At 62.3% G+C, this 25,846-nt stretch overlaps 1 protein-coding gene across 19 annotated transcripts in view, besides 1 other annotated feature; it reads left to right on the forward strand.

The window, feature by feature from the left end:
* ADGRB1 (adhesion G protein-coupled receptor B1) overlaps positions 1 to 25,846 on the forward strand; it is a 95,359-nt gene that overhangs the window by 66,010 nt on the left and 3,503 nt on the right. For 6 of the 19 annotated variants that reach the window (XM_047422060.1, NM_001702.3, XM_047422058.1 and 3 more), the window contains 9 exons: positions 2,480 to 2,583; positions 5,165 to 5,267; positions 6,307 to 6,457; positions 6,983 to 7,052; positions 8,580 to 8,646; positions 10,884 to 10,969; positions 17,637 to 17,808; positions 21,329 to 21,424; positions 23,716 to 23,755. In XM_047422060.1, coding sequence (XP_047278016.1) covers positions 2,480 to 2,583; positions 5,165 to 5,267; positions 6,307 to 6,457; positions 6,983 to 7,052; positions 8,580 to 8,646; positions 10,884 to 10,969; positions 17,637 to 17,808; positions 21,329 to 21,424; positions 23,716 to 23,755 — 889 coding nt within the window. Of the gene's footprint in view, positions 1 to 2,479; positions 2,584 to 5,164; positions 5,268 to 6,306; positions 6,458 to 6,982; positions 7,053 to 8,579; positions 8,647 to 10,883; positions 10,970 to 12,886; positions 12,986 to 17,636; positions 17,809 to 21,328; positions 21,425 to 23,715; positions 23,771 to 24,422; positions 24,558 to 25,846 lie in introns of those variants that run through there. The other 13 variants (XM_017013691.2, XM_017013692.2, XM_017013693.2 and 10 more) reach the window with 6 other exon arrangements.
* Positions 11,954 to 12,455: an enhancer, noted in NCBI's record as "H3K4me1 hESC enhancer chr8:143608973-143609474 (GRCh37/hg19 assembly coordinates)". NCBI's record gives its function as "activates a minimal SCP1, AML or CMV promoter by ChIP-STARR-seq in primed H9 embryonic stem cells {active_cell/tissue: H9 hESC(primed)}" and the evidence as "EXISTENCE:reporter gene assay evidence [ECO:0000049][PMID:30033119]".

Genomic DNA, 25,846 nt, shown 5'->3' on the forward strand with positions numbered 1-25,846 from the left:
TGGTTTCCTAGCCCTGGACCTCAGCTCTGCGCTGGTAAAGTTACCGGTGACTGATGAGCCAGGCTGGGAGGGATCGGGGGGCCGGTGGGAGAGCTGGCAGGTGAGTTTTGATGGGAGAAGTACCGGATGATGGGACTTCAATTCCAGAGGACCACCAGTTTGAGGCCTGAGCTCCAGGCTGTGGCATGCAGGAGTGGTGCTGAGCAGAGTTTCCTGCCGGGCACGGCATCACTGTTCCCATCTTGCCCTCCCAGAGCGTAGTTTGGACAACAGAGGTGAGCAGCGCTACCTGGGGTAGTTCGAGGGGCCTGTGTGGAGGCAGTGGCTTTTGAAAGCCTGGTGGGTTGGCAGTGCTTCTGCACACGAAGAGAAGGCGACTCTTGTTCCAGGGAGGCACAGCTGGAGCCGTGGCACCTGGTACACTTGGGCAGCACAGCTTGGCCCTGGAGGCGAGTGCCAGGTGTGGGGGGCGTCAGTCGTGTGTGCGGGCCCCAGGTGTGCGTGTGTGGGAGCCCCAGGTGCGTGCGTGTGTGGGGGCCCCAGGTGCATGCGTGTGTGCGGGCCCCAGGTGTGTGTGTGCGTGTGCGGGCCCCAGGTGCGTGCGTCTGTGCGGGCCCCAGTTGCGTGTGTGTGGGCCCCAGGTGCATGCGTGTGTGCGGGCCCCAGGTGCATGCGTGTGTGCGGGCCCCAGGTGCGTGCGTGTGTGCGGGCCCCAGGTGCGTGCGTCTGTGTGGGCCCCAGTTGCGTGTGTGTGGGCCCCAGGTGTGCGTGTGTGCGGGCCCCAGGTGCGTGTGTCTGTGCGGGCCCCAGATGTGTGTGTGTGCGCGCGCGTGTGTGCGGGCCCCAGGTGCGTGCGTGTGCGGGTCCCAGGTGCGTGCATCTGTGTGGGCCCCAGGTGCATGTGTGTGTGTGTGGGCCCCAGGGGCATGCGTGTGTGTGCAGGCCACAGGTGTGTGTGTGTGTGTGCATGTGTGCGGGTCCCAGGTGTGTGTGTGTGTGTGTGTGGGTCCCAGGTGCATGCCTGTGTGCGGGCCCCAGGTGCGTGCATGTGTGCGGGCCCCAGGTGTGTGTCTGTGTGTGGGTCCCAGGTGCGTGTGTCTGTGCATGTCAGGCGTGTGGCCTGCACCACCCCGAGGACAAGTCAGGCATGGCGGTTCAGCCTGGCTTATGACTCAGGTGATGGGTTGGGAAGTTGCTCGGGGTGAACTCATCCATGTAGAAGCGATGTCAGCCTGAGTCCCCTCCCCAGCTTTGCACGCCCTTCAGCCACCTGACTTCCCTGTCTGTCTTCAGGCCTGGCATGCTGGGGCTGTGCAGGGCCATGGGGTCGGGAATGGCAGGGTCTGTGGCCGGCCCAGGCCCTTTTGAGGAGAGGATGAGCTGAGTGCAGTGGCCAGAGGCACAGTCATGCGAAGAGGGGAAGGGTCTTCTGGGGGCACCGCTGGGGAAGAGCCCTGAGGGGAACCAGGGGGCCTGGGGGGCTCGGGACATTCTTGTCAGGAAAGGGAGGCTGGCCAGGGGCAGGGCCAGGGCCAGCCCAGTGGCCTTTGCAGAGCCGGGTGGGACATTTGGACAACGCCCAGGGCAGGAGAGTCAGGGAGGAGTGGTGGCCCTCCCTAGGAAGGGGCAGTCACCTAAACTAAGTACCCCGCAGGTGGTGAGGAGGAAGGGCCCACTTTATTCAGGTCACCCCGGCACCCGGATGACACCCCAGCTCCCACACTCTCCTGCCTCTGAGCAGGGCAGAGGTGCCCTCCAGTGCGCTGATCACCTCCCCCATGCCGCTGTGGCGGGAGAGGAGCTCACAGGGGGCAGGGCTAGAGGTGGGGATGCCTGGGGCCAGGGCTGGCGGCTAGGCCTAGAAGCTGCAGGGGACTGAGGGGCTGTGGAGGTGACACAGAGTCACCTGCCGAACAGAGAGCGAGGGGTGGGAGGGGGAGGGCTTTGGTGCAAGGAAGCTGGTCGGGATGTGTCCGGGCTGTGGAGGGACAGGTGGGTGTGGGGTGTCAGGGCCTGGCTGGATGGCATCTTGGATGGGGGTGGGCCGGAGTCAAAGCGGCTGCTGCCCCCGGATTTCTCGAAGCCTGGGCCCAAGAGGACTGTGCGTGTGGGTGGGCCTGGACCTGGCACCTCCCTGGCCCCGTCTGCAGTGTGGGGCTGGCGCCTGCCTGGAATTGACGGGGTTCCGAGACATGATGGCAGCAAAGACTTATCTGGCATCGGGCTTGGCATATGACTGTGGGGCACAGGCAAAGGGCCCAACCTCACAGAGCACAGCCCCGAAAGGGAGTTCTGGAGGGCCTGGGCTGGTAGAGGAAACCCCTCGTCTGCAGGGGGCGGGTGGGGAGGTGGAGGAGGGGCTGGGCCAAACGCTGGGGGTGTGACCCGGGGCTGCGGGCTCTCGGGTCTCAGTCTTCGGGTCTGCCGAGTGGGCGAGTGGGGTGCCTCACTCCCTGCGGTCTCTTCCCGGTCCCCACAGAACATGGAGAAGGCGACTCTGCCGTCGGTGACGCTCATCGTGGGCTGTGGCGTGTCCTCTCTCACCCTGCTCATGCTGGTCATCATCTACGTGTCCGTGTGGAGGTGGGTGCCGCCCAGGTGCTGGGCATGCATGTCTGTGGCTCCTGCATCACACGCCTCTTCCCTTGAAGGTCACGGGCGGGGTCGTGGGTGCCCCTCCCTCCATTTGTCCTCACGTTCCCAGTCACCTCCGCATTTGCCACGGAACCAGCCATGCTGTGGCCCCTCCGAGGCCTCCACAGGTCCTGAGGCCACCCCACACACTCATAATGTGTACATGCCGCACAAACACAGGGGGTGGGGCCTGGTTCCTCCCCTGAACGTGCCCCCTTTGCCTGCACTTCCTGACTTCCCTGTCTACCCTTAGGCATGCAGGCCAGGCCACAGCCTTCCCCGGACCCCCAGTCAGGCCTTAAGGCCCAAAGCCCCTGCTCACTCTCCACCCCAAACCCCCTTTCCCCAAGGCCACAGGGCTCTCAGCCTGCTGTCCATTCTGATTGTGGCCAGTGGGTTTTTGGGGCCACCCAGGCAGGTGTGGAGAGATGTGGAGGAGAGCTCGTGTTTGAGCAGTAACATGCCTGTTGAGTGTGTGGACGCGCCTCCAGGCACTCCCCGCTATCTGCTCCTGTCCCATTGAGTAGAAGTGTGGAGCAGGGAGCAAGGGCTCAAGGTCACTCACTGCCCATGGGGCCGAGTGGGGACTCCCAACGTGTCCAGAGGACACGTGGCTCCGGCTCTGCAGGCAGCGCGATGTCAGCCGATAATCGGAACTGACTGCCTGTCTGCTGCCCAAGGTCGGGCATCGGGAGGTCAATGTGGCTGGTGGGGGAGGGTGGCCGAGCTTTCCCGGAGACAGTGACTGGGTTGTGGGTAGTGGCAGGGGCTCTCCACTGTCCTGCCTGAGGGGACAGCATCCACTGGGCTCTAGGGGGACCATGGTGTTTCCTCTTCCCGGGACCTGCCTTCCCCTAGGGCCTGGATTCCACAAAACATCTGGGGAATGGGGTTCAGGGGCTCTGAACTCAGCTCTGATGTCCTGAGTTCTGAGGAAGTTTTCTGCCGACAGTTTTCAAAGCATCTCCCTTGGTGAGCTCTCCTGGCCATCCCTGTGCCCTATGAGCTGCCGGCAGGGACTGTTCTGTGGTCCCCATGAGGAAGTGGGGACCCAGAGAGAGAACGTGACCTGCCCAAGGTCATGCAGCACATCAGGGTCATGTCAGAGCCCCTGAGGCTCAGCCCTGTGCCCTCTGCTCTCCAGCTGGGTGGACCTCAGTCCTCAAGGGCTGCTGGTGATGGTGGTGATGGTGGTCCTGGTGGTGGTGTTTGTGGTGATGATGGTGGTAATGGTGATGGTGGGGGTGGTGCTGCTGCTGGTGATTGTGGTGATAGTGATGGTGGTGGTGGTGGTGATTGTGGTGGTGATGGTAGTGATGGTGGTGGTGATGGTGGTGGTGGTGCTGGTGCTGGTGATTATGGTGATGATGATGGTAGTGGTGGTGATGGTGGTAGTGGTGGTTGTGATGGTGTTGGTGGTGCTGGTGCTGGTGATTGTGGTGATGGTGGTAGTGATGGTGGTAATGGTCGTGGTGATGGTAGTGATGGTGATGGTGGTAGTGGTGGTTGTGATGGTGTTGGTGCTGGTGCTGGTGATTGTGATGGTGGTAGTGATGGTAATGGTCGTGGTGATGGTGGTGCTGGTGATTGTGGTGGTGGTTGTGTTGGTGTTGGTGGTGCTGGTGATTGTGGTGGTGGTGGTGATGGTGATGGCGTGATGGTGGTGGTGGTGGTAGTGGTTGTGATGGTATTGGTGCTGGTGCTAGTGATTATGGTGATGGTGGTGATGGTGGTGGTGGTGATGGTGGTAGTGATTGTGATGGTGGTGATAGTGGTGCTGATGGTGGTGATGGCTGTGTTGGTTATGGTGATAGTGGTAATGATTGTATGATGATGATGGTGGTGATGGTGATGGTGTGATGGTGGTGGTAGTGGTAGTGGTTGTGATGGTGTTGGTGCTGGTGCTAGTGATTATGGTGATGGTGGTGGTGGTGATGGAGTGATGATGGTGATGGTGGTGGTGATGATGGTGATGGTGATGGTGGTAGTGATTGTGATGATGATAGTGGTGCTGATGGTGGTGATGGCTGTGTTGGTAATGGTGATAGTGGTAATGATTGTATGATGATGGTGGTGATGGTGGTGGTGGTGATGGTAGTGATTGTGATGTTGGTAATGGTGATAGTGGTAATGATTGTATGATGATGGTGGTGATGGTGATGGTGGTGGTGGTGGTGGTGATGGTTGTGTGATAATGGTGATGGTGATGATGGTGATGTAGTGGTGGTGGTGATGGTGGTAGTGATTGTGTGATGATGGTGATGATGGTGATGGTGTGGTGGTGGTGATGGTGGTACTGATTGTGATGGTGGTGATGGTTGTGTTGGTGATGGTGGTGATGATTGTGTGATGATGATGATGGTGTAATGGTGGTGATGGTGGCGGTGATGATGGTCATGGTGGTGGTGCTGTTGGTGACAATGCCTGCAGGAAGTGGGGTGGGGCTCTGGTCTTGGTGCCACAGGACCACAGCCCCTGTGCAGATGGGGTTCTGTTGGGTGCTGACCTTGGGCCCCTGCACTCTCCACAGGTACATTCGCTCAGAGCGTTCTGTCATCCTCATCAACTTCTGCCTGTCCATCATCTCCTCCAATGCCCTCATCCTCATCGGGCAGACCCAGACCCGCAACAAGGTAGGCAGCCTTGCGTCCTGCCATGCACTTCCCAACATCCTCGGGTGGTGAGGATGGACCCCAGGAGGGGCCTGGACCGTGGGATCCCTGGGAAACTCAGGCAGGCGGGTGTGGGGGCAGGAGGAGGCTGCCCCAGCTACAGGGAGTTCCCTGCCCTCTGCTGTGGCTGCAGGAGCCTGTCAGGGGCTGGTCAGCCGGCCAAGAAGGGCAGCTTGTGTTCCAGTGTCTCTGCTGGACTTGCCCTTCAGGATGAGCCTGCTGCAGCCCTGCCCATCCCGCTGTGGGCAGTGGACTCGGCCTCAGCTCAAGCTGCCTCAGGGCTGGGGAGTGGCACTCAAGACGAGTGGCACTGTGGTGACAGAGGCTCCCACGGTCCACCCTCTCACCCCTACGCTCGCCAGCCTTGAAGCTGGCAGCTCATGGAGGGCCCCTGCCTGCCCTCCCCAGACCCCCTATCCCTGGTTCCTACCCTGTGGTCTCCAGCCCCATCCCACTAAATGTGGCAGGTGCAGCCTTTGGCTGGGGGCCTCTGCTTCCTCAAGGGGCCACGCTGACAATCTAGGAGAGAAAATAAAGCAAGAGGGCCCGCAGTGAGACAGAGAAGGCCTGGCCCCAGGGCCTGCCATGTGCTGTGGCAGAAGCTCAGGGCCGCTGTGTGGGTGAGGTTGCCTGCGACTTGCTGTGTGTCCTTGGGGCGTGACGTGCCCTCCCTGGGCCTTGGGCTTACTACCTCCTGAACGCATGGGCGGGTACCTGGACTTTTGAGAAGGCCCCTGGCTTAGCATTTGGTGTGGCTATGAATGGTGCTGAGAAAGATGGGGAGGGAGGATCTGTTTGTCCCAACGGGGCTTAGATGGTCAACAATTCATCTCAGGGCAAGGACCAGGTGATCTCTGGATTGCCTTCTGCCTGGGGACCTGGTTGGGTCCCAGTGAGGGTGCTGGGTGCTGGGCTGCCAGCTGCAGACAGGCACTCAGTGGGGACAGGTGTGGGGCCGGGGAGCACCTGCCCAGCCTGCCCCGCCCTGGGCCCCACACAGGTGGTGTGCACGCTGGTGGCCGCCTTCCTGCACTTCTTCTTCCTGTCCTCCTTCTGCTGGGTGCTCACCGAGGCCTGGCAGTCCTACATGGCGGTGACGGGCCACCTCCGGAACCGCCTCATCCGCAAGCGCTTCCTCTGCCTGGGCTGGGGTGAGCCGCGGCCTTCCCGACCCTCCTGGACAGATACCCTTCCTCCCCCACTGCTTGTTCTGTCCTGGCAGCCCCTCCTCTCCCCATCCCCTGTGGACCCCTGGGGCCTCAGTTGCTGCTTGGGTGGGCTTCCCCCTCTGGGCCCTCGTTCTTCCATGGAGTCACCAGATAAAGCACAGGACACCCAGTTCTCTTTCATGTCTAGATAACGAAAACGTTTCTAGCACAAGTATGTCCGGTGCAGTATTTGGGAGGTACATTTACAAAAAGATGATTCCTGATTTCTCTGCGAGTCAGATGTGCCGGGCACCCTATGTGTTCTCTGCTCATTGGACCACCCTGCGCCCAGCTCCGCAGGCCCTTGCCTTGTTCACCTCCTGCCCCATCTCTTGCTCAGCCCCATCCTCTGTTGGGGGCTTCAGAAGCGCCTGCCTGGCCCCCGCCCTTCACGGCAGGGCTAGGAGGAGGTGGAGGCTGGCTGGGGACTTGGGTGGGGCCAACACCCTCTCTCTGCTCCTTCTCCAGGGCTCCCTGCACTGGTTGTGGCCATTTCTGTGGGATTCACCAAGGCCAAAGGGTACAGCACCATGAACTAGTGAGTCGGGGCATTGGGGGTGTGGTGGATGGCCACATGGCCCCCCAGAGACTTCCACCGCCCTGGAGGGTGAGGGCTGGCCATGCCCTCCCCCCGTGTGACCCTGATCATCTCACAGAGGCTCAGGGAGGGTGGGGCCCCAGGGGCTGGAGGCTGAGCCCCTTGGGCATCCCCTCCCTGTTGGCCAGCCAGCTTCTCCCTGGCAGCGAGCAGTGGGCAGCAGTATTGAAAGAAACCGGGCCATCAGGGCCTCCCCCTCTGTCAGTTGGTCCATTAGTCACTCTGAGCCTCAGTTTCCCCATCTGTTCGGTGGGGAGCCCCCCTCTGTACGGTGCTGGTGAGAGGGAGGGCTGTTTGAGACATGAGCTCTGGGCACAGTGGGCACACCCCCCACAGCAGGCCTGTGGCAGGCAGGGCAGGGGTCGGAGGCTTATTTCACAGATGATGTCACTGAGACCCTGAAGGGTCAGCTGGACCAGGTCCTTGGGGCCTTAAATGGCAAGCCAGGAAGCTTGGGGTCATCCTAGAGGCAGTATGGTTCACCGGGTAGGGAGAAAGGGTCTGGGGCTCAGGATGGGCAGAAGAACTGGGGTGGGGAAGGGGAACCGAGGCTTGAAGGGAGGGCCTGGCTGCAGGGAGGGGAGCAGTGGGGAGCGCGAGGCAGGAGGAAGTGACTGATGCTGGCTGAGTGGGAGGGCGGAGCAGGCCTGGCTCACTGTGGAGCCCCTGGGGACAGGATGTGGCACCCCCTTGGAGCACTGCCCTGTCTAGGTGGCAGTAGGGGGTAGACATAGCTGAGGGCCCAGGGGGTGAGTGCTGAGAGGGAAATCCAAACACTGTCCCCAGAGATGAGAGAAGCAAATACCTGGCCTGCCGAAGTCAGGGGTGGATCAGGAGGGGATGGGGACATTGAAGTGGGGTTCTGAAGGATGAAGAGGAGTTTGTTTGACAGATGACATGAGGTAGGCTGCTCAGGGTAGAGGGAACGGTCCTTATTGGGTTTCAGGTTTCCATGGGCACCACAGGTGGTGTCCAGAGATCTGGAGAATGTGGGGCTGCTTACTGGGAGGGGGGTGGGGAGGGGGCAGGACAGATGTGTGAGCATAGGACCAGGTGCTGAGGCCACGGGGCCTGAGCCCCAGCATTCAAGCATCGCGTCAGGAAGGAGGGTCGGCCAGAGACCCCAAGAGAAGAGCCAGGAAGGGCCCAGGCCTGGGGAAGGAGGGACAGTCAGGTGGCCTTGGCCCTGCCAGCCTGGTGCCCCTGCTGTGTGGCTCTAAGCAGGTGGGTCCCCCCCTCTGGTACTGTCCCCATCTGTAAAATGGGGGTGACAGTGGCTGCCTGGGGTCTCCTGAGGATTCTAAGGCTAAAGAGTGGGTGTGACCTGCCCTGCATGCCGAAGGCGCTTAATAAGTGCCAGTTTTCTTCTGCCACTTCCCAGCTCACCCCTACTCCTGAGAGGCCGGCAGCACCTCTCTGCACGCCCCTCTGCACACGGGCGGTGCTGATGGCCTGTCTCCTCCCCAGCTGCTGGCTCTCCCTGGAGGGGGGACTGCTCTATGCCTTCGTGGGACCTGCCGCTGCCGTTGTGCTGGTACTGACCCGCCCAGGCCCCACTCCCCACGACCCCACCTGGGCCCCCCACCTGCCTCCTGGGCCTCGGTGCTGTCTCATGCCCCAGGCTGTGCACCTGCTGTCCCTTCAGGATGGCCCTCATGGCCCTCATCACCAGGGGGTGGGGGTGCCCACAGCCCCACTCTGACCTGCCCTTGGCATGCAGTGCAGGGGCTGGGCCAGGGTAGTGACCCTTCACACCTGTGAGTCTCGGCTTGCCTGATTATTGGGTGCCAGCTGTGTACCTGCCAGGAGATCCCCGCGGGTGTGGTGAGTGAGTGGCATGGGAGGAAGCTGGGGATGGACGGATGATGCGAGCAGCGGGGAGCTGCAGGCTGGACCTGGGTTGTGGGTGTCTGGCCCCAGAGCGCCAGATGTGAGGCTGGTGACCGCGGCTGCTTGCCCCTTCGGGGGCCCCGGTGAGGACCTTCCCTGTGTGGGTCCTTGGGCTTTCCTTCCCGCTCTCCTCCCACCTTAGTGTGGAGGAAGGCAAGACTGTGGCAGGTGGCACGCAGGGTCACCGTCCTGGGGTCACAGATGAGCTGCGGCAGCCTGGGGGACCCGCCTGGGGTCACTGGCCTCTACTGGGTCCAGCTCTGAGCCCACTCAGCCAGCCCCCACCTCTCTACTCTGGCAGAGCACCAGGGTTCACACCCACCCTCACATCCCCTCCCCTCTCGCCCCAGGAGAGGCCATCCACTTCCAGTAATTCCTGCTGCCATGAGCGGTGTCTCTGCAGGGCCACACCCCATCCTAGTGGGGACTCAGGCACAGGCTGGGCCTAGCAGAGAAACGTGCATGAGGGGTGATGGGGAGCTAGCCCTGTAGGGGCAGTTGGGGAGCCTACTGGGGGTTGGAGGGGCAGTGGGGCGCCATCCTTGGGCAGCCCCAGACCCCTCCCCACAGCCCTGGCTGTGGGATCCTACCTTCTTTATTCCTTCCTCCAGGCGGGAGGCAGGAGAGGCGTGGGGTACCTGGCGGTACCCCAGGCACCTGGGGATGGAGGTTGTGGGAAAGGGGACAGAGACAGGAGTCCCACCCTGTACACCCCTCCCCAGGATGTGTCAGGAAGGCAGGCTGACCCTGGCGGCTGTGGGACCCGAGCCCCAGCAGCCCCTCCTGTCCTTGGGGCCACGTGGGGCAGGCTGGGCAGAGCCTGCTGCAGGCAGTGGTCCGTCACTGGTGTCCATCCTCTCTTCTCTGCTCCGGCCACATCAGAAAAGTAGGCTGCCCAGGAAAGAGGCCACCACCCATCAGGCTGGCCAAGGCTGTGATGTGGGTGTCTGGGAACTCTGCATCCATTGTGGAAAGCAGGCCGGCTGTGTGGTCATGAGCCCTGAGCTGGAGGGCTACACGGTCTACCACCCTGGTCTTCTGGACGTGAAATGCCTGGTCAGGGGTCCATGGAGTCCTGGGGTCTCCCAGCCTCCAGCTTCTGGAACCTGGGCCTGAGGAAGTCAGGCCTTGCCCCTCGGGGTCCTAGCAGCATCTTTCTGCAGAGTGGGGATGCAGGAGGAGGGCCTCAGGGAGCCTCTGGCAGTTGGGGAGCAGAGAGTATGGCCTGAGACTCCTCCTTCCCCCCAGCAGAGGAGGCCAGGAGACAGGGGGAGACCCCAGGATGCTCAGGGCCAGTGGCTTCCCGGGGGTGCTCCAGGAACAGCTCTTGTATTGACTGGTAGCCTGGACAGTGGCAGGCATGGGAGACTTATGTTAGAGCCCAAGAAGAGCCTCCCTGGGTGCAGGCGCCCAGCCAGGGCCCTTATGGGGTGGGCAGTTAATCTGATGGGAATAGGGGAGGGAGATCAGGAAGGAAGTCTAGAGAGAGGAGGTGGCCTGCCCAGAGCAGAGAGCCAGGAGGAGTGTGACCCCAGGGAGAGCCAGGATTGGTGTCCCTTAGACAGGTTTCAGCTGCAGGCTGGCAGGGGCCTCCGGGCCCTGTGGGTGGGGAGCTCGCTGGTGGAAGGGATGCAAGGAGTTGCAGCAGAGGTGCCGACGGTGCGGGTGACACACAGAGAGGGCCCTGCACAGTTGGCAGCTGGGCTGGAGGTCACCTGACATCCCATCAGGCACTGGGGTTCCTGTGATGGAGGCACGGGAGGTGACCCTGGGTGGGGTAGGGGGTCGTGGTTGGCGTAGCCAGCATCGGTCCGGCCAGTGTCAGCCCCTGAGCCTACGGCGGCCCCCACCCCCACACCCCCACCACTCTCTGCCCGGCAGGTGAACATGGTCATTGGGATCCTGGTGTTCAACAAGCTCGTGTCCAAAGACGGCATCACGGACAAGAAGCTGAAGGAGCGGGCAGGGTAGGACCGGGGCTACGCGGCTCCTTGCCCACCCGGAGTGCAAGACCCAGAGCCCACCCAGCCCCGGGGGATGGAGAACGCTCCATGCCCAATCTGAGACTGCAGGTCCAGGGACCCCGGAGCGGGTGGGAAACGGAGGCACTGAGTACAGAGGCCCCTTAGGCTCAGCCAGCCCCTGCCTCTCACCGTGCCTCAGTTTCTCCATCTGACCTGGACAGGGTGGGTCCCATAAAGTCCTCAGAAGCTGTGAGACTGATTGTGCAGGGACACCCCGCCTCTGCCTGGCTTGCAGGATGGCAGCAGGGTGCCCCCAAGGCTGGGTGCTGGGGGTCCCTGGCCCCCCACTCCCCTACCACAAGGCTTGCTCCATGGCCAGGGGGAGGATGTCGCCTGTCCATGCAGGGACTCCCTGTCTTTGTGGGACCTTCATCATGGGGAGGATGGTGCAGAGGACAGGTGGAGCTGATGTTCCTCCCTCCGGGGAACCCAAGCCCAGGGAGTGCTCTCAGCACAGCAGCTGGACAGGGTGCTGGAGCAAGACAGAGGCGCTTGGGATGTGTGGCTGCACCCACCTTTGAGGGACAGGGCCCTGGGCACAGAGGGGAAGCTGCGGGGCGTGGGGAGCTGACTAGGGCGGACAAGCCCCTCTTGGTCCTCCCGCCCCTCACCTCTGCCTGCTGTTCTGTGTCATCCAGCCCTGGCTGGTGTCTGCGTGGGCCCCTCCCCTCCGTGCCAGTCTTGCTTGGATGCTTGGTGTCTCTCTGTCTCTCTCTCTGTTCCTGTCTCTCTCTTCCTGGCTCCTCCTGCTGTCCCCAGTGAACAGACGCTTTCAGGAAGCCTTCCCCTTGGGTGCCTGTGGGTTCTGGTCCTGGTTAGGAACCAGCCGAGCTGGTGTCTGATGCTGAGTGCGTGCCATGGCCCTGGGGTCTGTCACTCTGGGTGGGAGTCGCGGTGCTTTGTCTCCTGGCCTGGGAGATGGAGGCTGGAACAGGCCTCTCTAAGGCCTTGCCCTACCTGTCCCCGGAACACCCTGTCCCACACTGCTCCCAAGACAGTGGTCACACTCAGAAGAGGTCCCCAGGGCTACACATCCAGGGTCTGAGCATGGCAGACTGCCTACCTGGTCGTAAAAGCAGCAGTGATCTCAGGGGCTCACCCAGGGTGGATGTTTTGTTTGCTTCTTAGAATAACCATTGTGGCAGATTCTATGGTTATAGTCCCATCTTAAAGCTGAGAAATGGAGGTTTAGGGAGGTTGAGTGGCTGATGGAGCTGAGCTTCCAGGCCAGGTGGGCACACACTAGAACTAAGCCCAGGCGGCCTGCACTCTGCCCACCTCACCCTGTGTGTGCCACGGGGGCCAGCTGCGTTAGGTGCACACAGCCCAGGAGCGCACCCAGACTCGCCTGTGTGGCCGTGTAGGTCTCGCCGCCCACGTAGACGGGATGGAGGTTGGGGTGGAGGGGCACCCAGTACACCGGTCTATGTGTGCACGCACACCCACACGCATGGGCACACACACGTGGGCATACACATGCCACGAGGACCTGCACGAGGTCCCTGCCCAGGTCAGCTCCCTCGCAGACACACGGAAAGGGGACTGGAAGGCGCAGCGGCCTCCCTCTGGGAATTTTGCCGCTTTGTGCAGACGGAGGCAGGGTCCACCCTCAGCTGAGCGCAGGGACCCCTCACTACCTTCCCCCCATGCCTGCCACTTGCAGCCCTCAGCCCTGCCCACCACAGCGCCCACGCCCCAGGCCTGAGTTCGTGAGGTGGCTGAGAGCCCCCAGGACCGTCCCTGTTGGGGCCCAGGCTGGACTCCTGAGGGGCTGGTTTTGCACTTTGGCCCCGCCCCTCCTGCCTGGTTTCCGAGAGCAGGGCGCTTGCTTTCGTTTCAGCCTTTTAATTTCACTTGCAGTCAGCCGTCCCCGCACCCCCTCGGGCGCGCCCTCAAGTGTGCCGAGTGTGGAGTCCTCTCTGCCGCCGATGCCACCTCCGACGCCACCAGTAACGCCATGTTAGTGCCTCCGCTGCCACCTCCCTCCTAGGCCCACCCTTGGGGCTCCGCGCTCTGAGTCACCTTCTGTTTGTTTTATGTTTATCTTTCATTTCTTCCTTTTCTACCGTCCACTCTGGGTTTCTAGGCCACTCCCGTCCCCCCGATCCACTGCCCTCAGCTCCTCCTTCCATCCTCCCCACAGGCCTGCTCTAGGCCTGGCAGCACAAGGCACCGCGGGTGCAGGGCGTGGGGCCGGGCCTGGGCACAGGTGGAGTGCAGCTGTGGGCTGCGCTGCGGTAGGGAAGGAGCGGTGGTCAGTCCTGTCCCTCTGGGGCCCGAGTGTGTGCCAGGCTGCAAGCTGTGGTTTCTTGCTTCTGGAGTTGAACCTCCACCCCCACCCCTGGTGCTGCTGGCACGGAGCCCAGGATGGCTGATGCCTGGGCAGGGGTCTGCACCCATGACACCCCCGCAGTTCTGTGGTGGGGCGAGGAGACTGGCCCTGGCCTGCCTGATGGGAAGCCTCCCTCCCTGTGAGTGCACATGAGCACACATGTGAGAGCATGGCTAGGTGTGTGCATGTGTGTGAGTGTGCATGCATGCCACTGGGGGTGTGTGGGTATGCATGTCACCAGGTATGTGTGTATGAGTGTGCATATGTGAGTGTACATGAGTGTGCATTCGTGTGAGAGCATGACCAGGTGTGTGCAGATGTGTTTGTGTGTGTGTGTGTGCCCATGTGAGAGTACTTGCTTTTGTTTCAGGCTTTTAATTTCGCTTGTAGCCAACCGCCCCCATACCCCCTTGGGTGTGCTCTCAAGTGTACTGAGTGTGGAGTTCTCTGCCGCCAGTGCCACCTCTGATGCCACAAGTGTGCAAGTGTATGTGTACATGTGTAAGAGTGTGCCTTGATGTGTGCAAGCATGCATCTATGTGTGTGAGTGCAACCCACTGTGCATGTGTGAGCGTGCATGTATGTGTGTGAGTGCAACCCAGTGTGCATACGTGTGAGCATGCATCTGTATATGCGTGTGTGAGTGTGCATCTGTGTGTACCTGTGAGCGTGCATCGGTGTACCTGTGAGCGTGCATCTATGTGTGTGAGTGCAACCCAGTGTGCATATGTGTGAGTGTGCATCTATGTGTGTGGACGTGTGAGGATGCATCTGTGTACCTGTGAGTGTGCATCTGTGTGAGTGCAACCCGGTGTGTGTATGTGTGAGTGTGCATCTGTGTGGGTGCAACCTGGTGTGTATACATGTGAACGTGCATCTGTGTGGATGTGTGAGCATGCATCTGTGTGTGTACCTGTGAGCGTGCATCTGTGTGAGTGCAACCCAGTGTGCATACGTGCAAACGTGCATCTGTGTGTGTGAGCGCAACCTGCTGTGCGTATGTGTGAGCGTGCATCTCTGTGTGTGAGTGCAACCTGGTGTATATACATGTGAGTGTGCATCTGTGTGTGAGTGCAACTTGATATTTTGCGTTAGTGTGTGTGTATAAGTGTGAGTGTGTATATAATTGGGCATGTGCCTGTGTGTGCGTGTGTGTGTATGAGCGTGTGAGCATTGTGTATGTGGGAATGTGTTTATAGGTGAGTGTGTGAATGCGTGTGTGTGTGTGTACGCATGTGTGCCTGAGAGCAGGAGGCAGCCAGGGCCAAGGGAACAGGGAAGGAAGGGTTCAGGGTCAGGGGCTGATCTGCTGACCTTGGGCAGCCTTAGCAGCTGTGCATAGGGCAGGGCGGTATGGGCTCAGGTGGGTGGGGCCAGTTGGGCTTTCCAGCCTGAGGGGTCATTTCGTCCGTGCCCTGCCTCCCTCAACCCAAGGTGAGGGTGGTGCGCCCAGGTGCATACCCCTGTACCCTCCTGCTTTGCTCCCTGAGCCAGGCACTAGGGGTCCAGGGTTTTAGGAGCCGTGGGAGAAGAGCTCTGGGCCCTGGCACTGTGCAGATGCGAGTCGGGGCGAGGCTAGCCTGGGTGGGAGGAGCAAGCCCGGAGCTGGGGCAGCGTCCACACTGGCCTGCCAGGCCCCGGGAAGTTCAGGTTCTTTGGGGCTAGTGTTGCCCTTTCTTTGTCTCAACACCAGGGATGTGGCAGGGGCTGTGGGATCCACCCCATCTCATTCCATCAGAGAGAAGTGGGGGCCAGAAGGATGTTCCCTTTGCAGTCACTCAGAGCCTCTCCCCGCACCCCGGGCACCTGCCTCTCCAGACAGGAGCAGGCGCGGTGCAGCTGGGCACTCCTGGCCTCCCCTTCAGCAGCTCCCGGGCCTTTCTGCTTCCTTCCCACCGCTCTCTGCAGAAATGTTTCCCAGCCGCAGAGGCTGAGCTGCTGTGTGGGAGTAATTTACAGGTCCCCAGGCCCCAGGCCACCTGCCAGCCGCAGCAGATCGGGCTGTAAATGTCAGGCCTGGAGACCCAGCTGCACCACTGTATCCCCTGACGGGCAGCAGCAGGGGTGACTGACAGCAGGCAAAGAAGTCTCCATGGGGAGGGAAGCCTTGCACCTCCTCCCTTAGGACTTGGGTGAGGAGAGGAGTCCAGGGTCCCGGCTCAAAGAATACCAGCTTTGGAAGGGAGAAGAGAGATTCTCCAGCTTATCGCCATGGGAAAACCGAGGCCCCAGCCGAGGGGTCCTGCTCTGTGTCAGTGAGTGTTTCCTTGGCTCTGTGAATATTGATGGAGGGCCTCCTCATCACAGGCCCTGTGCCAAGTGCAGGGACACAGCAGTGAGTGACAGCCAGGGCCCTGTCCGCTGCTGCAGCCTGGAGGGAGCAGCACGGTCATGGGCAAGGGAGGCCTCTCCGGACGCCTGAGTTCCCAGGCGTGGGGTGCACAGGGAGCAGGGGCAGGCTCTCCAGGGCCAGGGGAAGGGCCAAGGAGGTTGGTGGCCTCTAGTACACTCCAAAGTTGTACAGGGAAGAAGGAGTCCCATGAGGCTATTAGAGCCCATCCTATGTCCAAGAGCAGGAGGGGCGGGTGCGTGGCCAGGGCCACGGTACCCTGAGACCCGGGAGGCACTGGCCATGCAGGACCAGGCCCTCTGTCCTGGTGTTGCTCTGGGCTCTGGGCCTGCACGTGTCCTAGCCATGGGTATGTGGTCATGCCTGAGGCTGGGGCCAGACAGATCCCTGCCGGACAGCATCACTGAAGAAAAGCAGACCAAGGCCTGGGGTAGAGGGCCGGATGGAGGAGAGGAGGAAGAGAGTCCAGGAGGCAGGCATGGCTGGCTGTGCCTGCTGAGAGGTCCTGAGAGATGACGACACAGATATCCCTTGGGGGCTGGGCCCTGCACAGGTGTTCTGCACTAGGGGTGGGAGCAGCATTGGTGGCCAAGCCACACTAGAGAGGGCTGAGGAGCAGAGCGTGTGGTTTTGGAGGCCCTTGTCCTGGCAGACTCCAGGTCATTCCAGCATCTCTCCTGCCAGCCCTGGTGTGCCAGCTCCTGCCTGGCATTCTGACCGCACACCTGGGCCCCCTACTCCCTATTCAGTCCTCCTGCCCCAGCTCCCCCTGTGTAGGAGGAGGGGAGGAGGGAAGCTGGCGCCAGCACCCATTCCGGGTGGTGATGACAGTCCTGCGGGCTGTGGGGCCTCCTGCGGGCAGGCACAGGGCCACCTCCCGAGCACTCACCGCAGCCGGGGTCCTGCTGGCCTCTGTCTGTGTTCCACAGCCCCGGGAAGCAGGTTGGTGTCCCCACTGTGAGCAGGAGAGCACAGGCTCAGAGGCCACGCGCGGAACCCAGTGGGTGGATGTGGGGAGGGGCCCAGGCCTTCACTGCTCCCAGCGAGGCTGGGCTGCAGGGGCGAGGGCTGCTGTGAGGCTCCTGGAGGACCTCCTGGGAGGGGGTGGCACTGAGCGGCAGAGGCAGCAGGAAGGGTCTACAGGCAGGTGGCCGCTGGGGCTCAGGAGGCATGGGCGGAGCTGGCCCACGAAGAGGAGGAGGCGCCTGTCAGTCTGTCTGTTGCCGTCTGTCTCTGTCTCTCCTCTGCTCCTCCCCTGCTGGCCTTGGCCGTCTGTCTGTCCTCATCTCATTCCCTCTAAGCTTCTCTCTCTCCAGGTCTCTGAGTTCTGGGCTCCACCCTCCCCTCCCCACCATGGCCATCTTGCTCTGCCCTTCAGGGCCTGGACCCCTCGCCTGGGGCCTGTGGGCTCTCTGAGGGTCCTGGACCAGGGGATCCTCCTTGGCGCACCCCACACCAGACAGCCCATCCCTCTCCAGCCTGTCTCCCTTCCCCTGTCACCTCCTAGACTGTCAGGAACCTGGATCTTCCCAAAGAGCCCTTCCCCCTTGCCCAGCTTCTCAGGACCTCCCTCCTGAGTCCTTGGGTCCACTCAGAGACCTTGGGCTTGGGGAGGGGGTGCTGGGACCTCAGTGTTGACGGTGGGCTCCTCCCCAGCCTGGGGCAAGGGCTTGAGAGGGGAGGGGCAGAGTGTGGGACAGGATTGGGGGAGTCCTGGGGAGGAGAGAGGGTGCAGACGCAGCCTGGGCAGTGGTGGACCCCTAGGGAGACTCACCCCAGAGAGGAAGGGCTGCTTGGCCCAGGCCCCCAGAGACAGAGACGGGGACTTAGGGCTGGGTCCCCACCGAGGCCTGGAGATGCAGGGTTCAGGGCAGGGTGTCCCTGGGGGCAGGGGCGGGGGCGGCAGCGCTGACACCCTCCATCCCCAGGGCCTCCCTGTGGAGCTCCTGCGTGGTGCTGCCGCTGCTGGCGCTGACCTGGATGTCGGCTGTGCTCGCCGTCACCGACCGCCGCTCCGCCCTCTTCCAGATCCTCTTCGCTGTCTTCGACTCGCTGGAGGGCTTCGTCATCGTCATGGTGCACTGTATCCTCCGTAGAGAGGTGGGTGAGGCAGCCTCTGTCGGGCCGGGCTCCTGCGGGGTCCTGGGGCTGCCGAGTGGCCTCCTCCTTCCCCGAGGACCTCGGCAGGGAGATTGTGGGTAGGCGCAGCATCCATGACCCTGACACATCTGCAGGCCTCGGTGGTCCACAGAGCGGGGCCTGCAGGTGAGCGTGTCCACCCCACTCTCCCTGGGAGCGGCCCAGGCAGTGCAGCACCTTCCCAAGGATGCCCTGCGCCCGCACTGGCTTGGGGGCGTGGGGGACGAAAGCACATGGGGCCCCCATCCTCAAGGGGCCTACAGGAGTGAGGAAGCTGGCAGCAGAAGTAGCTTCCAGGGCAATAGAGACTCCTGCTTCCGGCGTTTTCTGGATCTTTCCAGAAGGTGTCACTAGAAGGTTTTCACCAAACTACATCCCAACTACCGCCTGGCTGGTGGCCACGATTGGGATGCTCTTGCGGAGGCTGGAATGTGGGAAAGCATGCATGTCGACCTGGGTGGCGTAGGACACCTGCTTCCAGATCAGCGCCAGGAGGGCGGAAGGCCCAGGAGCGGGGCGGCCACCTCCCCCTTCCTGGGTCCCCCTGGAGAGACGGCAGAGGGGCTGTTGAAAAGCACACAGGTTCCCGAGGATGAAGAATACAGGAGAAGCCGACAGCAGGGGAGCCGGTAGGCAGGGAAGCAGGATGAGAGGTGCAGTCCCAGCTAACTGGAGACAGCCCAGGCTTCGGCCAGCTGCAAGGAGCCAGACGGTGTCAGGAGTGGGGCCCGCCCCCTCCCCAGGATCTCTGGCTGCCACAGGAAGGTCAGGCGTGGGAGGCCTGGTTTTCCGGCCTTAGGTGGCGATTTCCATCCCAGCCTGGAAGGGCAGGGCTGCCCTCTTGGCCTCCGCGGCCTGGGCCTCACTCTCTGGGCAGAGTGAACAGAGGGGCTCTGGCCTGGGGCAGCTGGCACAGCTGAAGATGGGGATGCCGCCTGGAAACAAGTCAGGGAAGTGGATGTGCTGAGCCTGGGTCACGTGTCAGCGCAGGCCTCCCAGACCCAGACCTCTGCGGGGAGGTGTGAACGCCCCTCTCAAGGCAATCTGACTTCGAGGAAAGACAAGAGGAGGAAGAGCCAGAGTTCTGATGTCCAGCAGCGAAACGGCTCCTGTACCAGTCAACCACCAGCCGGGCAGTGCTCCACACTTACATCCCAGCAGCTCCTGATGAGGACAGCAGAGCTCCTGTTGGAGTTGCAACCCAACCAGACAAGCAGGAAAACAGCGTGGGGACAGAGGCAGCCCAGGAAGGAGAAACCTCAGTGGCCCCTTCTTATCCTCACCTGGGAGAAGCCGCTCACCCTGGTGCACGCCACATGGGCCAGGCCCTGGTCCCAGCAATGAACTCGTGTTAGTGAATCTCATGACAGCTTCTAAAGCAGGTGCCACCTGCTCCGTTCCAGACAGGACAGCTCCAGGGAGCTCGTCACAGGAGCTCATCACCATGGCTGGGATTTGAGGCCAGGCGGTTCTTCTTTGAGGCCACACTCCTGGCCCCCAGTGCCTGGCTTCTGTGAAACAAGAACAGTAGCCTATGAAAAAGGAACAAAAAGAGCCTTGTGGAAATTAAAAACAGAGAGCAGCTCAAAGCTCAGTAGAAGGAAAATGGAGGCAAAATATCTCACAAAATAGAAAAGACGGAAATTGGAGAGATTTCTCAAACAATTAGGCAAATCCCCAAGGACCAACTGACCGGTGACGGGAGCTGCAAAGGAGACAGCGGAGAGGAGGGGCTCCAGGGAGGCAGAGCCCAGGGCCAGCTGGAGCAGAGGGCTGGCACTGGGGGTCTCAGATGTGCAAGAAGCCTCATGGTTGGCAAATGGGGTCAGGGAAGGAGGGGACCCAGCATGCTCCTATGGTGGGCGGGGACAGAGGACACCAGGGCCAGACTTCCCCGAAGCCCCCAGTGAGCTCCCAGCCCCTGTGTGTGGGCTCCGTGCTGCAGGGCCTTCAAGGTCCTGCCCAGAGATGGCTTCCACCTGGGCCTGGTAGCAAGGGGCCTTGCCTACCCAGGTCCTCAGCCTCGGGGGTGGTGGCCAGGGCTGCAGAGCATGCTGAGGAGGCTGGGCCAGGTGGAGGCCATGCCGGGCAGCCCAGCCGGCCCTGTGGCCTGGGACACTCCTGCAGGTGGGCAAGTCAGTCCCTCGTCTGCCCATGAGGCTGGGGCCTCCTGGGCTGAGGCTGGCTCGGGTGTTCCTGGAGAGGGTACCAGAGGGACTTGGGGAGCCCCAGCTCCTCTGCTCGCCCACAGAGAGCACTTCCCTACCTGCCTGTGGGACCGGGCACACGGTAGGTGCCCAGTAGGCATTTGCGGGGCAGGTCCATGAGGGAGAGGATGGCAGGAAGGCACACCTGCTGTGGCGGCCTGGAGTCCTTAGCTGGTGTCCGGGGGTCAGAGGCCACTGAGACCCTGGTTTCCAGGCCTGGCCCTGCCTCTGACCAGCTGTGTGGCCACGGACAATTCTCTCGCCCGCTTTGGGCCTCGGTCCCCATCTGCCTGATGAGAGGGGTGGGCTGGGTGTGCTCAGCCCCCCAGCAGCATGAAGCAGAGCACTAGGTGAGGGAACAGGGCCACAGGTCTGTGGTTGAGTGGGTGGGTAGGTAGGTGGGTGCCTGGAAGCCAGGAGCCCCAGCTTGCCCTCTTTCTGCCTCTGCCAACTTCTGTTTGGATGCCTCCTCCAGGAAGCCCTCTGTGCTTTCATGCCCCCCACCACCCCCAAGGATTCCCTTTATATACTGTTACCACCGCAGTGTCAGTGTGCTGCCCAGAGCAGCCCACAGGAGGTGGCTGCTGGCCCCACGGGAGGGACAGTTGGCATTCGTAGATGATGTCTCCTGGATATCCAGTCTTTACCTCCTTGGGAGTTCCCTGTCCATAAGCTCTGCTGGCCGCTGGTCTTCCCCTGTAGCCCCTCCTACAGAGTCTGCTGCCGTCCTCACCACTGTCCCCCCTGAAGAGTGGGTGGCCATGAAGGGTGAAATCCCCCTTGACAGAGTGCTGTTCCCAGTGGGGTGGCTCTGGGGAGGGGCCAGGCTCAGGGACCCTGGCACAGCACCCCACACTCCCAGGGCAGTGAGGGCCAGGCTTTCCACTGGCTCAGAGGAGGCAACGACATTGAGGCTGCTGGAGATGCAGGCCAGGTCCAGGGACATCTTCGGCCCGCTGCAGGTCAGGGCAGGTTCTCGCAGGCGGACTCTGGCCCGAGGGCCTGCAGCAGCTCTCGGTGGCTGGGAGCTTGGTAGAGAGAATCTCAGACAGGAGAGGGGTAGGCTGTTCCCCTCCTGGGGTCTCTTTTCCCCTTCTCCACCCAGTGGGTCATGACTCAGCAGACCAGAGGTGGCCCTGTGGGGAGGCCTCCTGCTGACCAGCCCTGCCCTTCCCCGAGACGCCCGCCCCCCCACAGGTGCTGCTCATCTGATCTGGCGCTGGCGCAGGGTGGGGGCGTGGCTGCCACTGAGGTGCTCGGCTCTCCCTCCCCAGGTCCAGGACGCTGTGAAATGCCGTGTGGTTGACCGGCAGGAGGAGGGCAACGGGGACTCAGGGGGCTCCTTCCAGAACGGCCACGCCCAGCTCATGGTAGGACTCAGGGCCCGGGGACTCAGGCTGCCCTACCTGCCTCGTACCCCCGCCAAGTGCCTCCAGGCCCTCACCGTGCCCCAAGCTCCCCTAGGCCCCAGCAACCCTGCTGAGAGGAGCTCTGAACCCAGTGTGCAGTTGGGGAAACTGAGGCTCGCCAAGTGGAACCCCTGGTCCGGGGTTTCCAGCTGGGAAGGCCTGAGCTGATGAGTTTGGAGGTCTCAGCGGAGGCTGGCATCCACCCCACACTCACCCCCGCTGGCAGCAGTGCCCGTCTGGCTGGACACCACCCTCTGAGCATCCCAGCCCTCAACTCAAGGTCCCCATCCTTACACCTCCCAGGCCCACCCTCAGTGCCCTCCATCCCCACCCAGGAAAGTCCTGCTCAGCTGCCACCTAGGGGTCCAGCCTAGCCTGCCCATCCCCTCCCCCTACCCCGCATATTCCCACCTGCTGCCTCCCTGGCGCTCCCTGGGTGCTGCCCAGTCCTCAGCCCCTGCAGGGTGACTCTCCCTTGTGGCCCCTGGCCATCCTGCCTTCACCCTCTCTGGGCTCTCTGCCCTCCCCCTGCCCATCCTGGTGTCCTCAGCGGTGTGTTCTGCACCCCCCGCCCCTGCCTGTGCCTGCGCCTGTCCTCTTTACAGCACAGCGTTCCCACGACACGCACAGGTCCTGGGAGGGCGGCCCAAGTGGCGGTTCCTACGTAAGGGCCCCCAACAGCCCCCTGTGGAGCCTCAACTCTTCCACACCTCGACCTCAGCATCTTCCTCCTGCAGCCTTGTGCCCCTGGGGCTCAGCCAGGACCGTAGTGGGCTCCTAGTCACCAAGTCTGCTCCCACCCACACCCGTCACTAGACCTCCTGCTTCTGCACCCAGAGGCTAGCACACAGGGTGGAGCCAGGCCCCCTTCTCCACCCTCTAGGCCTCAGGACAGCATCCACGCCCTGGCCTGGTCCTGTGCAGAACCCGCAGCTGTGCTGGTCTTGCTCCTGCCCCTGTGTCCTTCACACAAGCTTCCACCCCAGGTGTTGGCCACCCTGCGCACTCCCGTGGGTCCCCTCCTCCAGGGAGCCCTCCTTGACTCTTGCCCCATGGTGCCACCTTTCTGGGCTCAGGCCACGCCCCTGGTGAACTCTGCACGGCTGGTGCGCGGGAGGTGCTCCCTGGGTCCCGGGGTGCCCAGCCACCTCACAGTGGTTGTGAAGCTCACAGGCAGGGCCTCAGCAGATGGCATGTCCAGCCCCGGGTGAGGGTGAGGTCCTTCAGTGAGAGACGGCCACTTCGGCTCTTGGGTGACGTCCAGGCAGGCCCCTCATGGCTCCATGCCTCAGTGTCTCCATCAGCCAGGGAGCAGGTATCCACCAGTGGCTAGCTTGTCATTTTGGGACACAGCTTCCCCCTCCCCCAGCGTTTCTCCTGGCCTGACCTCTGATCCCAGGGGGAAGATTTTGTTGTCTCCATCCAACCCAACCCCTGCATTTGCAGGGAAGAAACCTCCAGGTTTTCAGTGAAGGGTGGGCCTGTCCCCTGGAGCCCCAGGGCCCCTGGAGAAGGACAGCCCCAGGCTTGGGCAGGTCCTGAGCTCCCTGAGGGCGGGTCTGGGCCGCCCACTCCTGCCTCCCCAGCTGACTGTCAGCTTGGTGTGGCTGCCTGAGGGTGGTGGGTGCCGGCCTTGGCCCTGAATTGCATGTTCAACATCCCCCCCCACCACCTCTCCCTCCCCAGACCCTGGATGGGGCCCCCTTGGAGGGATGTGGGGGACCAAGGGGGAGAGTTCTGGTGCCGCAGGCCCAGAGCCATTCCTGAGGCCTGGGGGGAGAGATGAGACCAGAGGAAGCAGGAGGTCATCAGCTCCCAGACGCCTTGGAGAGAGCACACATGTGTGCCTCACAAACAGTCTCACACACACCTCAGAAACACACACACAGCCACATACAGAAATACACACGCATGTACGTGTACAAAACACTCAGATGCATTCTCTCACATTTACAAACACCTGAATCCACACGCAAACACAGGGACACAAATTCACCCACTTATACACAGACATATCCACAAACACGCACGCATACACTCACACACGCATCCACCCAGAGACACAAACGCCCACCACACAGGCAGGTACATGGGGAGGCATGGTCGCCCACGTGGGGCACTGGGCTGTGGACATGGACAGGGGTTCCTCGGGGCAGCAGGAGCACCGTGGCCCTCCCGAGCGGTCTGTGCACGCGTGCACACACCCCCGCTCCCAGAGGCGCTCACCCTGCCCTGTTGTCTCTGTCCTACAGACCGACTTCGAGAAGGACGTGGATCTGGCCTGTAGATCAGGTGAGCGCCCGACAGGTGAGAGGACAGTGCCAGCCCGGCCCCCTGCATGGCCCCACTCCACGCCTCCGCCTGTGCCTCCCCCACATCACCCATCCCTGTCCACTCCTGCTGCCCCCACCCACACCCAGCCACACCGTCAGGCCCACCTGGACCCAGGGGACCTGCCCTGGGGGCCCAGCCTTCCACCCCCGTCCACTTCCTGAGGCCGAAGGAGGGTCCATGGGGCATGATCAGAAGCTTCCAGAACACTGCCCTGGCACTCCTGCTGAGCAGGTGCCTGTGGAGCGCCTGGCTGCGTCCCCTGCCCACCTGACATCTCTTCCTCTGTCGTGGCCCCAGCGAGGAGCACAGCCTCACCCTAGTGCCGCTCCCCCCCCCTGCCTCCTGCCCACCGCCCTCTAGCACCTGTGTTCTGTGCCACCTTCATTTCCTCATTGCCAGTCCCAGCAGGGGCAGAAGTGAGTGGGGCTTTCAGGCTAGGGGGACAACGGGGAGCAAGAGGAAGGCGGGGAGAAGGACCCACCATGGAGCCCCCGGCCGGTGCTGAGCTTCCTGGAACCAAGTGCAAAAAACGAACGACTGCCCAATAAAGGAAGCTCCGCCGCCCATCCCCAAGCATCAGACTGCGAGGGTCTGTTTCTGTCCCCACCACTGTTCTGTGAACCAGGTCCTGAGGCAGTGACAGGCAGTGGCTTTCTGAGCTGTGGAGAGGCCAATGGACCATGCTCCCTCTGGTCATTTAGATATTTGAAGAGCACCTTCTCTAGAGACAGCCCTGGCAGAGGAGCTGGGACAGCCCCAGGTGGGGAGTGTGTGCTGGTGCCAGTTGGGCCCCAGGAGGGCTTCCTGGAGGAAGTGACTTCGGGGCTGGGCTGAATGGGAGCTGGACAAAAAGCACCTTCTGCCCCCTTGGGGTCTCCTGTGAACCAGTCCCACAGCCTCTCAGAGGGGTGACCCTAGGACTTGGGGCCTCAGGTGGCTTGGGTGTATGTGGGCCTCTCTGAGCCCCTGATTCCCTCTCATTCATGCGCTGGCTACAGCGCCTGGTGGATCCACATGCAGCTGGTGGATGCGCCATGAGCAGCTGGTGCTGAGCGCCTGGGAGCTTCCTCAGAGCGGGAGGGTGGGCGGGGTGCCAGCGAGGGGCCTGGGCCTGGGGGGAGCTTGGCTTTTATTGTGCCCCAAGGTGGGTACATGCGAGGGAGGCACATAGACCCCTCACGTGCCAGGCGCTCGTTCTGCCTTGTGGGGAGCAAAGTGTGAGGTGTGTGGGAGGTCGGGAGCCCCAGGGTCTGTGCGGGGTGGGGCGGCCTTGGGGACGTGCGTCCCGAGAGTGCTGTGGCTGTCTGGGTGGGGCATGTGGGTCTGACGGGGAGGATGACGGGTCACTCTTGGGTAGGGACGAGGGAAGGGGCGGGGCTGAAAATGGGCACAGGGTGTTGCTGTCCAGAGGGTGGAGGAGAGGACCAGGCCGGGAGCATGGCCTGCTGAGCTCTGAGGGGGACGGGGAAGCCTGTGTTCGGGAGAGAGAGTGACCCCTGGCTAGGCAGCTTGGGGGGCATTGGTGACCCTGGGGCCCGTGTGCCTGGCAAGGTGGCTGAAGGGAGCAGCTGGTGAACACAGGCACCCAGGGCTGGCTTGGCGTGGTGGGTAACCATCTGCCAGCCTGCATGGGGCAGGACACAGGGGGCAGGCCAGGCTTCCCAGGAAGGGCCCTGGGGTCTGGATCTTTGGAGACTGGGGCTTGGAGAAAGGAGGGGTGTGGAGGGTGGGCACCCCTCTGTCAGGGGCAGGCGGCTGGGTCAGAGTCAGCTTGGGGTTCTCCGCCAGCCAGTAGGGGCTAGATTCATTGGCAGGAAGTCGGGGGCAAACTGGAGCCCCACTCAGAGGTCAAGGCGGCTGGGCCCCTTGCAACTGACCAGAGACAGAATCAGAGGTGTCTGGGTATGGAGACCTCTCTCCAGGGACCAGGCGGCCCTCAGGGCAGAGCAGGGAGGCTTGCAGGCCCCAGGGGCAGCGATGCAGGAAGGGCCGTGACAGAGGGCCAGGGCCTCGTGGCTGCACTCAGCACCACTGGGCTCCCGCACACTG

This window comes from Homo sapiens, chromosome 8, assembly GCF_000001405.40.
Source record: "Homo sapiens chromosome 8, GRCh38.p14 Primary Assembly".
Taxonomy (NCBI): Eukaryota; Metazoa; Chordata; class Mammalia; order Primates; family Hominidae; genus Homo; species Homo sapiens.